The sequence below is a fragment of the Homo sapiens genome, chromosome 5 (assembly GCF_000001405.40).
Source record: "Homo sapiens chromosome 5, GRCh38.p14 Primary Assembly".
NCBI classification, from domain to species: Eukaryota; Metazoa; Chordata; class Mammalia; order Primates; family Hominidae; genus Homo; species Homo sapiens.
This window is the reverse complement of record NC_000005.10, coordinates 37740258-37757986: the sequence shown is the minus strand read 5'-3', so window position 1 is coordinate 37757986 and position 17729 is coordinate 37740258. Positions and strand designations below refer to the sequence as shown.

At 39.8% G+C, this 17729-nt stretch overlaps 1 protein-coding gene across 5 annotated transcripts in view, besides 1 other annotated feature; it reads right to left on the bottom strand.

Annotated features, from left to right (window-relative positions):
• Positions 1413 to 1661: a silencer, noted in NCBI's record as "fragment chr5:37756428-37756676 (GRCh37/hg19 assembly coordinates)". NCBI's record gives its function as "represses an EF-1alpha promoter that drives an FKBP-Casp9 reporter gene in an ReSE screen in K562 erythroleukemia cells {active_cell/tissue: K562}" and the evidence as "EXISTENCE:reporter gene assay evidence [ECO:0000049][PMID:32094911]".
• Positions 4552 to 17729, bottom strand: part of WDR70 (WD repeat domain 70) — a 374118-nt gene continuing 360940 nt past the window's right edge. For all 5 annotated transcript variants that reach the window (NM_018034.4, NM_001345998.2, NM_001345999.2 and 2 more), the window contains one exon: positions 4552 to 5501. In NM_018034.4, the coding sequence (NP_060504.1) occupies positions 5414 to 5501 (88 nt within the window). In that variant the 3' untranslated portion in view covers positions 4552 to 5413. The remainder of the gene's footprint in view (positions 5502 to 17729) is intronic.

Here is a 17729-nt window from a genome sequence, read left to right as displayed (position 1 = left end):
TATGTAGCTACTAAGATTATATATGAGGTTTATATTATGGAAAATTTGCATGCTTATTTTATAAGTGAAAAATACACATTGTTCATAAATATAATAATTCTATTTTTGAGAAGAGAAAATAAATCTGAAAACTATATAAAAAAGAAAAAAATTGAAGGTAATTCATCAAAATATTAGTACTGTTTGTGCTAATATTTGAATTAGCACAAATTGAATGGTTGAATAATTTTATCTTTTAAGTTGTTGCAGTTACACATTTCTGTATAATAAACAATCCCACAACTTAGTAGCTTCAAATGACAATAATCATTTATTTTGTTCATTAATCCACAGTTTGGGCAGGGCACTGTTGGGATTGGCTCATCTCTGCTTCATGTGACAAGAGCTGATGTGACTCAACTGTAACTGAAGGATCTGTTTTCCAAGATGGCTCAATAACATGTTGCTTCCAGCTGACAGCTGTGGGAGCTCTTTTGGGGTTGTTGGCTAGGGGCCTTAATTCCTCTCCAAGTGGGCCTCTCCATGGGGCTGCTTGGGCTTCCTCATAGCATGGCAGCCAGGATTCAAGAACAAGTGTCCCAAGAGAAAGAAAGGAGGTGCAATTCTCTTAAGGTCTGGGCCTGGTGACTTGAAAAACATCATTTCTGCCATGTTCTGTTGGTCTAGATGTCACCAAGCCTGCTCAGATTTAAGGGGAGAGAAGTGTCAATGAGCTTGTGGCTATTTTTTTTTTTTTTTTTTTTTTGAGACGGAGTCTCGCTCTGTTGCCCAGGCTGGAGTGCAGTGGCGCGATCTTGGCTCACTGCAAGCTCCGCCTCCCGGGTTCACGCCATTCTCCTGCCTCAGCCTCCCGAGTAGCTGGGACTACAGGCACCCGCCACGACGTCCGGCTAATTTTTTGTATTTTTATTAGAGACGGGGTTTCACCGTGTTAGCCAGGATGGTCTCGATCTCCTGACCTCGTGATCCACCCGCCTCGGCCTCCCAAAGTGCTGGGATTACAGGCGTGAGCCACCGCGCCCGGTGGCTATTTTTAATCTACCATTAAAAATAAGCATTTCCAAAAGTTTCATTAGAGTATTATTACTACTGGGGGCAGGTGAAGTATCTTTTAAAATGCTTTTATTAAAAAATGTGAAGACAGTAGTATAAACTGATAATTCAGAAAACTACTTAGAATGGCAGTTTCTCCACTCTTTGCCCTGAAAGTTCCTCCTGCAGCTACATACTTCAACACACGCACACCCCACACACAAAGATCTCCTGTCTTCAGGCACTTCTCCCATGGCCTGGTCCTCCTCTCTCTTCTTTGGTGAGGGTATTAATCAAAAATTAAAGTTACATGTGCCTTATTCCAGAAAGATGGTTTTCAAAATGTGTCTGTAAACAACCCTCTCCAACTTCTTGATCTCTTCACAATAAGTCTCACAAATGAATGAGGCATATCACCTCTGGGGGGCTACTGACCCAGGCTGTTTGTGTACCTGTACACCTTGCCTTTCTCCTGCCCCATCTGACTCACTGATTATTAAACACTATCTCATGCCTGAGATAGTCATGTTGATTCTTTAAAGCTTGTCTCAAGTTGGCTCAAGTCTCATATTTGTTCTTAGATCACATTAAGAAAAATGCTCACACTTTTTTTTCTGCCTTCATATGGCTGTGAAGCTGACCTCTTGTTTTTTTAATGGGACAGAAAGCCATAATCTTTCAAAGAATAAATACTAAGGTCTGACTACAAAGCAATATGACTGATTGCCTAAGATTAAATGGTAGACAGTGTATGAAAGGTTTTAGTTGGGTTGGTTTTATTTGGTACTGTGTGTGTGTGAATGTGTGAGAGTTATGTCCTGGTTTTCAAGTATGAATGGCCCAATTTTAGACAGTTATCCTGGGAGATGAAGGAATTACTAGCTGTACCCAGTATCCTCGAATTGAGTCTAATTTATGGATTCTCTCCACAGAAAAATGTACGAGTATAAGCAAAGCATGCTGCATAAAATTTGAGGGAGTTCACAGACATCCCGCCTAGGTTAAGAATCCCCATGCTAGACATCTCTCAGATCTTTGGTAAGTCAGGGTCACATGACCTTCCCAGTATCAAGTCCAACAGGACAGGAGGCAAGTACCTGAGGATGTCATGGTGGCTTAGAACTTGCTGTGCCCTGCCAGGAATAGCACAGATAATCCTGCCTCCTCCTTGAGCCATCACAGTTAGCTGTGAATAAATCCCCACAGAGAAGAGGTAAAGCAGCCTGGATGCAGACCAACCTTCAGTACTAACGATCCTCCTTTCCATCTGCGAGGCAGAAGCACTTCTCACACCTCATTCTTTTCCCATCCATTCTTCATCCTTGCCTGTTTCATTCCCTCCCTCTGCCAAAGATTGAATACGCCTCTTTTTAAACCCTTTCTCAGGGCTAGGGTCTAGGAATACAAATGTGAATAGAACATGGCTCCTCTAATTTATTAAACAAACTTACTGAATATTTACTGAACCCAATGCTCTTTAGTTTTTACAATCTACACCCTAGTGAGGAAACATGCATGTACACACATGGGCACACACCACTGGCCCACAAGCCATTCATGTGTATACAATCATAACGCAACATAAAAGGAGGCTATAATTGAGAGATATGTAAGCAACTATCGAAGCGGAGACTGTCTGCCTGGGAAGGTGAAATTGATTCCTGTTTCCAAAATCAAATAGGAATTTTCCAAGCAGACAAGGGTGGAAGAGGGGACAACATGTGCAAAGCCATTCAGGTGCCAAAGAACATAGTAGTGGCTGAGCCTCAGAAGCATGTGCCAGATCAGCAGGAGTTACAGCATGAAACACAGGGAAAGGCCGAATCCTGGATGTCCTCAATTGCCACATAAACGCATGAGTACTGACATAGAGCTTCTGGAAGGCTCTAGGCAAAAGAATGAAATGACAGATTTTGACTTTAGAAGGCCAACTCTGATGACAGAATGAAAGATGGGTTAGATGAGGACCTAATGAAAAACAGGAAGATCATTTGGGCAGGAGGCTCCTGAGTGGTGCTGGTGAAGGCTAAAAGAGGGTCTAAATTCTAGAGGGGTGGTAGGGAAAGAGAGGAAGGGCAAATATGAGAGATTCAGAAGACAGCATGGGAAGAAACTGGCAAATAATTAAATGGGTGGGAGTGGGGGGTGAGGGAGGAGTCATTAGGATGACTGCCAGTTCCTTCGAGCAACTAGAAATGAAGGCGACCAAATACAAGGTTGCATGGGGGAAGATAACGAGGCCTGAGGGACATGGGGAGTGTGAGGGACTGTAAGATAAATAACTGTTGATGCCCACTCTGGTGACAGGACTGCAGGTCAAATGAACACACACTATTTGTCCATTCCTGGTTCTAAACTCCTCCCTTACCAAATTTGAAATTGAAATCCGTATGTGCATGTTGCCAATCTTCTGTGGAAAAAATAATTCTTTATAAAACTCTCTACAGTGAGACAGATCCTCTTAAATATGAAAAGGCCCACTTGTGTTGTGGGTAACGATGAGAAAATCATCTTCGTGCGAAATTTGCCTTTCTCTTCCCTTACATCATAGCTGACTCCGCCAAGACCACTATGATCAAGTTTTTATTCCTCCTCCAACCCTCCACTGCAACTTTTGGCTGTACAAGACGAATACTTCCATATGGTGCAATGTTTATGTTAAGATGGGGGAAAATGTGAGATGCTTTCAGTAAATTTTATTCAAGAAGTAATAAATTTATACATTCTAAGCAGCTGGAACAAAATATTGGTCTGTAATTGATTCTGAATGAAGTGTTTTTCAAAAGGAACAGAAAACTTGGGGCTATTTGTTAATTACTGATGTTTAGAGATCTTGGGTGCTGTCATGCAGCCCTCTCTGGCTGTGACCTCAGACATATGATTTGACATGTTGAATCTCTTTTGCCTCATCTGGAAAATGGGTTTAGCAATTTTACCTACTCATAGGGTTTTTGTGAGGATTAAATCAGCTAACACAAGTAAAGGGCTTGGGATAGTACTCATTATGTAGCAGACACTCAGCAAATGTTAGTTCTTTTCTTTTTACCTATTACCTATAGTCTGAGTCACAAGAGAAGGGGAATAGGATGAGGATGGGGGTAGGAAGGAAGGACTGAGAAAGTGTATGAGAATGAAGTTTTAAGGATTTATCTATAAAAGAATGCCCACTGCCACCTCAGAATCTGTAGAGACAAGGGAGCTGTGTGAGTACAAGTGATTCTTTAAAAATATTTTTTGGGAAGCAGGTGTGGGTACGTGAAGCCTGTAAAACCAGGAGTTTTCTGATATACTTTTGGGATCATCATGCATTTTTATAATTATTGAAATCACTAGAACAAATGAGAGCAGGAGGGGAGAAGGCAAGTCCTAAAAAACCTGTCTAGAGGGGACTATTTAACATGCAAAAACTACCCCATGTCTGTGTGAAACCAATGCACAGAATTTATTCTATTGATGCATTATTATTTTGGACAAACTGCCAACTTTTGTTTTAGTTTTTTAGTCACTAAAGCACAATGATTTTTTAGAATAATTTTTAATGTCTTCTGTTTAGTCTTTACATTTACAAAGCAATTCTATACCTTTCTAATTTAATACTGATAAAAACCAAGCAAAGTAAATATTAGCCCTATTTTAAAATAGCAAATATTTGGTATACATTTACTGTGTTCCAGGTACTGTACTAAATGCTCTGTGAGGCATGTCCCATTTAATTCTTCTGACGAACCTGCAAAGTACGTACTATTTCATCATCTGAGGCTAGAAAAGAAAAGTTAAATAACTCTCTTAAGATGACCCAGAAGTAAAGAGCAAAGCCAGGACTTGAATCCACATGAGTCTGACTTCAAAGCCCACTCCTAACTCTTAACCACTGTATTCTGCTATTGAAGGATAATGAGATAATGCTCTTTCCCAGTATGGCAATGTATTTGGTTTGAACTCAGCCTAATTAATTACAGTCATGTAAACAACTGTTGTGAAATTATACAGAAACATTAAACTTTTTGATCTCTATTTCTATATTATGTTCCTAGAATTGCTAGAGACAGATGCACATCTTAATGTACATTTTCCTCTCTAAGGTTATGAGAATCTGGACAAGACCAATAATTGTTGAATAAAGTTTCCAAATACCTAAAGTACTTGGTAATAGACTAAGAATCTGTTTCTTGTTTATCTGTAATCAGTTTAATAGTTGCAGGTAAGAAAATTTAAGCACAATTTTAGTGAAGCCTAGCCACCAAACTTTTGACCAGTTCAATAATGCAAAGGACAAAACCTGTTCATAAAAATGAATTTTTAATTTCATGAGCATAAAAAAAAAACCCAAACCTGTCCCATACCCCTCCCACTCATGCAAACAGCTCTCAAATGAGATTCTTCAAATTTTACGTTTTTTCCATTCTGGCTCATTCTTTGCTTCCTCATCATCAGATTCAACTTGGGCAAACATGGTTTTGGGCTGAGTCCTAAAAGAAAAGTTAAAGAAGAGAAGGAAAAATTTAGTCAGAAAGTATTTGTTACATTAGATTTTGCTTCCTTCATCAAGTGGGAGCAAATGTGGGGAATAAATTACAACTCAATTATTAAATATAAATCATTAAACTTCTGGCAAAGAAAAAGATAATGGAAATTTAATTATGTTCAGGAAAAGAGCAAAAGATTCTTTTAAAGATTTACCCTCTGTGGCAGACTGTACATACACACTGTTCTTTCCTTAAATAAAATGAAAATGCATCAAATTCAGTGGAACTTCACCCATCCTAACCACCCTCCACCTGAAACTCTGGGTAACTGGGACCGTATGGAAGAACGAACTACAGTCACCAAGCAAGAATCTACATGATCTTTATTAAGACCATTTATTAAGCTCTCTGGGTTGTCCCTAGGCTTCAGTAGTGTAAATATGTGTTTATAGTACACATAAATGGGAAAATATGAGTTTGTTTTCTTATCTAATGAATTTGAGCCTGCAAAAATAAAAACCAAAGAAAACGAATATCCCCCGCATTCCTACACTCAGCCCAATGCATGGAAATGCCAAGCATTTTAGGATACATCACTGATACATGGCTGTAATACTGCCACACACCTCAAGCAATCTGCACAAAGACTTTCTGTGCTTCGTAAACATACCGGTTCAATGACATCCCTTTTCACACTACTCACATAAGAAATATCTCCAAGAAAATGTCAAGTGGTTATAATGTCTGCCCCTTTTGGTCATGCTACTCTGATTTTATTTTAAAAAACAGCTCTATCGCATTATGAAGAAACATTAAAGCACATCTGCAGGTTATATATTTCGGCTTGTATTTTCATTTAGAATCATTATATCCACGTAATTCCAGAATGGTAAAAATAATGACAACTATAATTCCTTTTATTTGGCAAGAAAACCAGGATAAACTTTATATTCCCTCTTGCTGCTTTTTTATTATCCTGGGGAAAAAGCATAAACCATCCACAACTCATGCTGATGTTGTCTGACATGAGTCATGTACTAGAATTGCTCGTGAATAAGTTGATCATTATTCCTGTCTCTCCAGTTACCTCACACACCTACCTAGAGCCTAAGCTGTCCCCATACACAACCCAGTTGGTTAAACTTCTTGTTGTCACTTTAAGACACTGTTATGATATCTATAAACAGGTCACAGCTCTTAAATTTCGAAAAGCAGCTACAGGTTTTGATAGGCCATAAGTTGCTGAATTCCTAACTGGCTTTCTAACATGCTACAACAAGGCAATTGGTGCTTATTACATATTTCATCTTCTGGCAAAGATGCTGACCAGTTAGGTATGGATAAACCTGTTCAAGAACAAATTTGTCCAGGTTAAAAAATCCTTTGAATTAGATATTTAACTTCTCAGGGGGAAAAAAAGGAACAAGGTCTTCCAAGGATATCTGAAAATGCTTCGTAGGACACCAGCTCATCAATGTTAGTTGTAATGAGATTTAAGTACTAAGAAATTGCAATGCTAGTTTCTTGTATATAAAAAAGGAAATTAAATGGCAAATTACAGGAAGAAATGTAGAGTCCAAAAAGGTTATTTCATTTAAGGTGTTATTCTCTGTATTAGACTGTTCTCACGCTGCTAATAAAGACATATCTGAGACTAGGTAATTTATAAAAGAGGTCTAATGGACTCACAGTTACACCTGCCTGGGGAGGCCTAACAACCATGGTGTAAGGCAAATGAGAAGCAAAGTTATGTCTTACATGGCAGCAGACAAGAGAGTGTGTGCAGGGGAACTGTCCTTTGTAAAACCATCAGATCTTGTGAGATTCAGTATCACAACAACAGCATGGGAAATTACTTCCCACTAGGTCCTTCCCATGATGTGACAATTATGGGAGCTACAATTCAAGATGAGATTTGGGTGGGGACACAGCCAAACCATATCACTCTTTTTTTAGAGACAGGGTCTTTCTCTGTCACCTAGGCTAGAGTGCAGTGGCACAATCATAGCTCACTGTAACTGAACTTCCGGGCTCAAGTGATCCTCCTGCCTCAGCCTCCCCAGTAGCTAGGACTGCAGATGTGCACCACCATGTCTGATTAATTTTTTTATTTTTTTGCAGAGACATGGTCTTGCTCATGTTGCCCAGGCTGGTCTCAAGTGCCTGGCCTCAAGCAATCTACCCATCCTGGCCTCCCAAAGTGCTGGGATTACAGGCATGAGTCACCACGCCCAGCCAAGATATTAGTCTTTTTAATATTCCACCTTCCAAAAGTATCCGTAGGAGGTTGATGGCTAACATCAAAGGGCACAGAATCAACAAAACTACATAACAACAGCTAGAAAGAGGCATGAGAGGATGTTTTGGTGGGATGGAAATGTTCTATAATCTTGACAGAAATGGTGATTAACAGGTGTATGCATTTGTCAAAACTTGAAATGGGTACATTTTGTATTTTATTGTATGTAAATTGTACCTCAATAAAGTTGATTTGTAAAGAAACTAAAAACAAAACAAATTGGTAGAAAATAAAGAACCAAGGAATGAAAGGGTAATTGAGCATTAAACTTAGCACTGAATTTCCTAGCAGCCATGAGAAAAGAAAAAGGACAAATATTTGTTTTTCAAAGGAGATACTGCGTTTTTGGTTTTTTTTTTCACCTAGTATTGAACTCAGTTAATTCATTGAGTAAATGTTTGCATCAGGGTCACTTCAACTGTCATTTCTAATCACTAGATCACAACAGTTTCCTTGGTCCCCACTAGGAATTAAAATGTAGGGAATATTAAGTTGTTTGGAAGGTAAGACAGTTAAACATCATAGTCCTTTTTGCAAAACTCCATGACATTTAATTTCTACTTTTGAACTAATCATAATGTTGCCAGCAAAATGGCCACATTATACGTATGCATAATATTTTTTTTCTTCTTAAAAAAAAACAGGATACATGTGCAGAATGTGCAGGTTCATTACATCAGTATACATGTGCCATGTGGTTTGCTGCATGACCTGTCCTCTAAGTTCCTTTCCCTCACACCCCAACGTCCAAAAGGCCCTGGTGTGTGGTGTTCCCCTCTCTGTGTTCTCAATGTTCAACTCCCACTTATGAGTGAGAACATGAGGCGTTTGGTTTTCTGTTACTGTGTAGTTTGCTGAGGATGATGGCTTCCAGCTTCATCCATGTCCCTGCAAAGGACAGATCTCATTCCTTTTTATGACTGTATAGTATTCCACATGGAATACTATACTTCTTTATCCAGTCTATCACTGACGGGCATTTGGGTTAGTTCCATGTCTTTGCTACTGTAAACAGTGCTGCAATAAACATACGTGTGCATGTGTCTTTAGAGCAGGATGATTTATATGCCTTTGGGTATATACCCAGTAATGGGATTGCTGGGTCAAATGGTATTTCTGGTTCTAGATCCTTGAGGAATCGCCATACTGTCTACCTCAATGGTTGAACTAATTTACATTCCCACCAACAGTATAAAAGTGTTCCTATTTCTCCACAGCCTTGCCAGCATCTATTGTTTCCTGACTTTTTAATAATCACCATTCTCACTGGCGTGAGGTGGTATCTCATTGTGGTTTTGATTTGCATTTCTCTGGTGATCAGTGATGTTGAGCTTTTTTTCATGTTTCTTGGCCGCATAAACGACTTCTTTTTAGAAGTGTCTGTTCATATCCTTTGCCCACTTTTTGATGGGTTTTCTTCTTGTAAATATGTTTAAGTTCCTTGTAAATTCTGGATATTAGACCTTTGTCAGATCGGTAGATTGCAAAAATTTTCTCCCATTCTGTAGGTTGCCTGTTCACTCTGATGATAGTTTCTTTTGCTGTGCAGAAGCTCTCTAAGTTTAATTAGATCCCATTTGTCAATTTTAGCTTTTGTTACAATAGCTCTTGGCATTTTTGTCATGAAGTCTTTGCCCATGCCTATGTCCTAGGAATGGTCTTGCCTGGGTTTTCTTCTAGGGTTTTTATGGTTTGGAATTTTACATTTAAGTCTTTAATCCATCTTGAGTTAATTCTTGTATAAGGTATAAGGAAGGGGTCCAGTTTCAGCTTTCTGCATATGGCTAGCCAGTTTTCCCAGCACCATTTACTGAATAGGAGATCCTTTCCCCATTGCTTGTCTTTGTCAGGTTTGTCGAAGATCAGATGGTTGTAGATGTGTAGGTTTCTGAGGACTCTGTTCTGCTTCATTGGTCTATATGGCTGTTTTGGTTACTGTAACCTTGTAGTATGTTTAAAGTCAGGTAACGTGATGCCTCTAGCTTTGTTCTTTTTGCTTAGGATTGTCTTGGCTATACGGGGTTCTTCTTTGATTCCATATGAAATTTAAAATAGTTTTTTCTAATTCTGTGAAGAATGTCAACAGTAGTTTGATGGCAATAGCATTGAATCTATAAATTACTTTGGGTAGTATGGCCATTTTCACCATACTGATTCTTCCTATTCATGAGGATTGAATGTTTTTCCATTTGTTTGTGTCCTCTCATATTTCCTTGATCAGTGGTTTGTAGTTCTCCTTGAAGAGGTTCTTCACATCCCTTGTTAGCTGTATTCCTAGGTATTTTATTCTCTTTGTAGTGACTGTGAATGGGAGTTCATTCATGATTTGACTCTCTGCTTGTCTACTGTTGGTGTAAAGGAATACTTGTGATTTTTGCACAATGATTTTGTATCTTGAGACTTTGCTGAAGTTGCTTATCAGTTCAAGAAGTTTTTAGGTTCAGATGATGAGGTTTTCTAAATATAAAATCATGTCATCTGCAAACAGAGACAACTTGACTTCCTCTCTTCCTATCTGAATACCTCTTGCCTGATTGCCCCAGCCAGAATTTCCAATACTACGTTGAATAGGAGTGGTGAGAGAGGGCATCCTTGTCTTGTATCAGTTTTCAAAGGGAATGCTTTCAGCTTTTGCCCATTCAATGTAATATTGGCTGTGGGTTTGTCATAAATAGCTCTTATTATTTTGAGATATGTTCCATCAATACCTAGCTTATTGACAGTTTTTAAAATGAAGGGGTGTTGAATTTTATCTAAGGCCTTTTCTGCATCTACTGAGATAATCAAAGTGTTCCTATTTTTCCACAGCCTCCCAGCATTTATTCTTCCTGACTTTTTAATAATCATCATTCTGACTGGTGTGAGATGGTATCTCGTGGTTTTATTTGCATTTCTCTGATGATCAGTGATGTTGAGCTTCTTTTCATACGTTTGTTGGCCACGTAAATGTCTTCTTTTGAGAAGTGTCTGTTGATATGTTTTGCCCACTTTTTTGTTTTTTTCTTGTAAATATGTTTTTGGTTTTTGTCTTTGGATCTGTTTATGTGATGGATTATGTTTATTGATTTACGTATGTTGAACCAGCCTTGCATCCCAGGGATGAAGCTGACTTGATGACATGGATTAAGTTTTTTGATGTGCTGCTGGGTTCGGTTTGGCAGTATTTTATTGAGGATTTTTGCATCAATGTTCATCAGGGACATTGGCCTGAAGTTTTCTTTTTTGTGTGTGTTTCTCTTCCTGGTTTTGGTATCAAGATGATGCTGGCTTCATAAAATGAGTTAGGGAGGAGTCCCTCCTTTTCAATTGTTTGGAATAGTTTCAGAAGGAATGGTACCAGCTTCTCTTTGTACTTCCGGTAGAATTTGGCTGTGAATCATCTGGTTGTGGGCTTTTTCTAGTTGATAGGCTATTAATTACTGCCTCAATTTCAGAACTTGTTATTGGTCTATTCAGGGATTCAACTTTTTCCTGGGTTAGTCTTGGGAGGGTGTATGTGTCCAGGAATTTGTCCATTTCTTCTAGATTTTCTAGTTTATTTGCTCAGAGGTGTTCATAGTATTCTCTGATGGTAGTTTGTATTTCTGTGGGGTCAGTGGTGATATCCCTTTTATTATTTTTTATTGCATCTATTTGATTCTTCTCTCTCTTCTTATTAGTCTAGCTAGCAGTTTATCTATTTTGTTAATGTTTTCAAAACACCAGCTCCTGGATTTGTTGATTTTTTTGGAGGGTTTTTCATGTCTCTATCTCCTTCAATTCTTCTCTTAGTTATTTCTTGTCTTCTGCTAGCTTTTGGATTAGTCTGCTCTTGCCGCTCTAGCTCTTTTAATTGTGATGTTAGGGTGTCGTTTTGAGATCTTTCTAGCTTTCTAATGTGGGCATTTAGTGCTAGAAATTTCCCTCTTAATACTGCTTTAGCTATATCTCAGAAATTCTGGAACATTGTCTCTTTGTTCTCATTGGTTTCAAAGAACTTCTTTATTTCTGCCTTAATTTCACTATCTATCCAGGAGTCAATAAGGAGCAGGTTATTCAATTTCCATGAAATTGTGTGGTTTTTGAGTGAGTTTCTTAATTGTGAGTTCTAATTTGACCGCACTGAGGTCTGAGAGGCTGTTTGTTATTATTTCAGTTATTTTGCATTTGCTGAGGAGCGTTTTACTTCCAATTATGTGGTCGATTTTAGAATAAGTGCCATGTGGAAATGAGAAGAATGTATATTCTGCTGATTTGGGGTAGAGAGTTCTGTAGACGTCTACTAGGTCCATTTGATCGAGAGCTGAGTTCAAGTCCTGAATTTCCTTGTTAATTTTCTGTCTCGTTGATCTAACACTGACAGTGGAGTGTTAGAGTCTCCCACTATTAATGTGTGGGAGTCTAAGTCTCTTTGTAGGTCCCTAAGAACTTGTTTTATGAATGTGGGTGCTCCTGTATTGGATACATATATATTCAGAATAGTTAGCTCTTCTTGTTGAATTGTTCCCTTTACCATTATGCAATGCCCTTCTTTGCCTTTTTTGATCTTTGTTGGTTTAAAGTCTGCTTTGTCAGAGACTAGAATTGCAACTCCCATTTTTTTTTTGCTTTCCATTTACTTGGTAGATTTTCCTCCATCCCTTTATTTTGAGCCTGTGTGTGTCTTTGCACATAAGATGGGGCTCCTGAATACAGCACACCAATGGGTCTTAACTCCTTATCCAATTTGCCAGTCTGTGTCTATCTTTTAATTGGGACATTTAGCCCATTTACATTTAAGGTTAGTATTGTTATGTGTGAATTCAATCCTGTTGTCATGATGCTATTTGGTTACTTTGCACACTAGATGCAGTTTCTTCGTAGTGTCAGTGGTTTTTATATTTTGGTGTGTTTTTGCAGTGGCTGGTATTGGTTTTTCCTTTCCATATTTAGTGCTTCTTTCAGGAGCTCTTGCAGTGCAGGCCTCGTGGTAACAAAATCCCTCAGCATTTGCTTGTCTGGAAAGGATTTTATTTCTCCTTCGCTTATGAAGCTTATTAGTTTGGCTGGATATGAAATTCTGGGTTGAAAATTCTTTCCTTTAAGAATGTTGGATATTGGCCCGCAATCTCTTCTGGCTTGTAGAGGTTCTGCTGAGAAGTCTGCTGTTGGTCTGATGGGCTTCCCTTTGTAGGTGACCTGGCCTTTCTCTCTGGCTGCCCTTAACAGTTCGACCTTGGAGAATCCAATGATTAAGGGTCTTGGGGTTGATCTTCTCTTGGAATATCTTAGTGGTGTTCTCTGTATTTCCTGAATTTGCATGTTGGCCTGTCTTGCTAGGTTGGGGAAGTTCTCCTGGAAAATATCCTGAAGTGTGTTTTCCAGCTTGTTTCCATTCTCTCCATCTTCTTCTGGTACTCCAATCAATCATAGGTTCGTTTTTTTAATGAAGTCCCATATTTCTTGGAGGCTTTGCTCATTCCTTTTCATTCTTTTTTCTCTATTCTTGTCTGCATGTCTTATTTCAGTAAGGTGGGCTTCAAACTCTGATATCCTTTCTTCTGCTTGGTTGATTTGGCTGTTGATACTTGTGTATGCTTCACAAAGTTCTTGTGCTGTGTTTTTCAGCTCCATCAGGTCATTTATGTTCCTCTCTAAACTGGTTATTCTAGTTTAGCAATTCCTCCTCCAACATTTTATCAAGCTTCTTAGCTTCTTTGCATTGGGTAAGGACACGCTCCTTTAGCTCATCATAGCTTTTTATTACCCATTTTCTGAAGCCTACCTCTGTCAATTTGTCCCTCTGATCCTCCATCCAGTTCTGTGCCCTTAATGGAGAGACGATGCAATCATTTGGAGGAGAAGAGGCACTCTGGCCTTGTGGGTTTTCAGCATTTTTTTGTTGACTCTTTTTCATCTTCATGAGTTTGTCTAGTTTTGGTCTTCGAGGCTACTGACCCTTGGATGGGGTTTTTGTGGGGCCTTTTTGTTGTTGTTGATGCTGTTGTTGTTACTTTCTGCTTGTTTTTCTTTCAATAATCAGGGCTACTCTTCTCTAGAGCTGCTGCAGTTTGCTGGGGGTTCACTTCAGGCTCCATTCATCTGATTCGCTCCCATGCCTGGAGATGTCACTCAAGGAGGCTGGAGGGCAGCCAAGGTGGGTGCCTCCTCCTTCTTCTGGGACCTCTAACCTCGAGGGGCACCAACCTGATGCCAGTAGAATTGCTCTTGTATAGGGCGTCTGACAATCTCTGTTGGAGGGTCTCACCCAGTTGGGTGGCATGGGGAGCAGGACCCATTTAACGAAGCACTTTGTCCCTTGGTGGAGAGGGTGTGTTTTGCTGGGGGGAAACCCACTCGTCTGGGCTGCCCGGATTCCTCAGAACTACCAGGAGAAAAGGCAAAGTCTGTTGGTCTGCAAAGACTAAGGCCACCCCTCCTGCTAGGGGCTCAGGCCCAGGGAGATCCCAATTCTGTCCCTGAGCCTCTGGCTGGAGTTATTGGAGATCATGCAGGGAAGCCATGACCACTGAGGAAGAATAGGTCAGGGTTAGACCTGAAGAGGCACTCTGGCCACAGACTGCCACAGCCGGTGTGTTGGGCTGTGGGGACAAGTCTTGGGACCAAGCCGTCTAGCCTTCCTGGCTCCAGCAGGGGAAAAATGCAGCCTGGAGTTATAGAAATGGGTGCTGCCCTTCCCCTACCCAGAGAGCTTAGCGTGTTAGGCAGTTGCTAGTCCCAGTGCTAGCTGCTGCCCCTCCCACAAGGAGCCAAATAGCAGGCAGCCATAGCCAGTGCTGGTCACCCCTTCCCCTGGGAATTCGGTAGGCTTAAGCAGATTCCAGCTGAGAGGCTGTAAGAATCTGCACATCTGCACATTCCGGGGTTAGGATGCTAGGCCCCACTGGCCTGGGTCTGCAAGTGGGATCTTCTGATCCGTGGGTTGCACAGTTCCATGGGAAAAGCAGTTTCCCCAGCTGGATAGCGTGTTCACTCACCGCCTCCCTTAGCTTGGGGGAGGGGGGTTCCCCTTCCCCGTGTGGCTCTCAAGTGGGTTGCTGCGCCACATGCCCTTCCTTCTGTGGGACACACCAGCCTTCTAGTCAATTTTGATGAGAGAACCTGGATGCCTTGGCTGCTGGTGAAGGATTCACATGCTTATTATGTTTTTTTCCAATGGGAGCCTCTGAACACCGCTGCTTTGAATTGGCCATCTTGGCCCTGCCCGTAATATTTCATGTGATATTTCAAGGCATCACATCTAACTTGAAAGTTGTAATGGTCCCCTTTCCCCAAATTGGAAAAACCAAGGCAATAAACTCTAGATTTTCCTGGCAATTTTCCCAATGCTTGTTTACCACCTGTTTTTTCATTCTGTTGGTCAGGTAGGGGAATAATTGAGAATAAGAACTCAGCTCCCATCAACACCTGGTGTTGGCAAAAGTGTATATCCACATACAACAAAGTTAGAACCTCAACTTATACCATACACAAAAATTACCTCAAAATGGATCAAAGACCTAACCATAAGAGATAAAACTATATAACTCATAGAAGAAAACACAGACATTAGATTTGGCAATGATTTCTTGGATATGATTCCAAAAGCACAGACAACAGAAGAATAAAGTAGGTAAACTGGACTACATCAAAATTAAAAACTTCTGTGCTTCAAAGGACACAACTGACAGAGTGAAAAGGCAGAATGGGAGAAAATATTTGCAAATCATATACCTGACAAAGGATTAATATCCAGAATATATAAAGAACTCCTACAACAACAACAATAAAAAAATTTTTTAAATGGGCAAAGAACTTGAATAGGCACTTCTCCAAAGATATACAAATAGCCAGAAAGTGCATGAAAAGATGCTCAATGCCATTAATAATTAGGGAAGTACAGACCTAAACCACAATGAGATACCACCTCACCACAAGAATGGCTACTGTTGAAAAAAAAAAAAAAAACAACAGATAATAACAAGTATTGGCCAGGATGCAGAGAAACTGGAACCCTTGCATGCTATAGATAGTAATGTAAAATGGCACAGACACTATGGAAAACAGTGTAGTGGTTCCTCAAAAAATTAAAAATAGAACTGCCATGTGATCCAGCAATTCCATTTCTGGGTATATACCCTCCAAAACTGAAAACATAAAAGAGATATTTGCTCATGGCAGCATTATTCACAAGAGCCAAAGAGTAGAAGCAACTCAACTATACATTGATAGCTAAGCAAGATATGGTATATACATAAATGGAATATTATTCATCCTGAAAAAGGAAGGAAATTCTGATAACATGCTGTAATACAGATGAACCCTGAAGACAGTATGCTAAGTGAAATTGGCCAGTCACAGAAAGACAAAAACTGTTTGATTCCGCTTATATGAGGTACCTACAGTAGTCAAATCCATAGAGTTAAAAAGTAGAATGGTGCTTACAAGAAACTGGGTGGAGGGTGAAATGGAGAGTTGTTTAATGCAGGCGGTCCCCAACCCCCAGACTGCTATTGGTCCATGGCCTGTTAGGAACTGAGCTGCCCAGCATGAGATGAGCAGTGGGCGAGTGAGCATTACCACCTGAGCTCCACCTCCTGTAAGATCAGTGACAGTATTAGATTCTCAAAGAAGCACAAACCCTATTGTGAACTGCACATGTGACGGATCTAGGTTGTGAGCTCCTTATAAGAATCTAATGCCTGATGATCTGAGGTGGAACAGTTTCATCCCAAAACCATATCCCACCACTCCCATTCCATGGAAAAATTGTCTTCCACGAAACTAGTCCCTGGTGCCAAAAAGGTTGGAGACAGCTGGTTTCATAGAGTTTTAGCTTGGCAAGATGAAGAGTTCTGGAGAGTTTGCACAACAATGTGAATGTACTTAACACTAATGAACTATATACTTATAAATGGTTAAGATAGTAAGTTTTATCTCATGTTTATTCTACCAAAATTAGACCTTTTTAAATTAAAAAAAAAAAAAAAAAAAAGAACTAGGCTCTTGGGCTTGGGAGTAAGGAAGAACAAATCCCCTTCCTGGGACAAAAAGGAGGTGCCTTGGAGAGGGCCTTAGCCTCCAACCTAGAGCAGTGCCTAGGGTACTGCTTCTCAAACCATCTGTGATGGAGGGCCAGTCTTTGTTTTCTAATTTCCAGGACTCTGCAGACAAATATTTTATTTCTAGAAACATAAAATTTAAAGACTACAAAATACAAATCTAGGTTTTTATTAGATTCAACAGATACATCAAATTGCTATAAAATGTCCAAAGTGTTACTCTGAATTCTACATTTACCTCATCAGCACTGGCTGGTGGACCAGAGTGAGCAGTACCTCTTGAGAGCTCCATCCCTCCCCTAGCTTGGCAAAGAAGGGAGAAAAACAGGGCTTTGAAACAAGTCTGTGGAGTAAGAATTTGTATTTTTAACAAACTTTTACACATGATGAGCTTCCTCCAACTATGGGAAAATATTTCTCATATCTGGAAAAATTGGCCCTGTATGATGCTACTGAAGAGTGGGTGAAAGAATAAAATTTGGGGTTACACTCTCAGGCCCATCCTTAAAGGAGTGGTCTTTGATTTTGGGGAGTTAGGCATGGGGAAGTGAAGCAAAGTATGGCCCACAGAAGGAATTTTCTCTCATTCCAATCCATCCTGCCCTCAAAACCAACATTCTTACAGCATAATTCAGAACCTTTAATAAGAGCTGTGTGTTGTTTGCTGAATAAAGACTAGGTTCTTCAAAAAAAGAGTATTCAACTTTAGCACACTGAACATCTCTACCAAGCCTAAGGAACACCAGTGTTTTGTAGGAGCATAGTGAGAGAATCATAGCTTTAAACATTGTAGCTATTCTTTCTTTTTGGCAATTTTTATCTTTGAATTTATTTCCAGCAGTTATTCTTTTGAAAACGTTTAGAAATCCACATATGAGAAATATTTTAAAAACTCAATTCAGAGCTATCTAG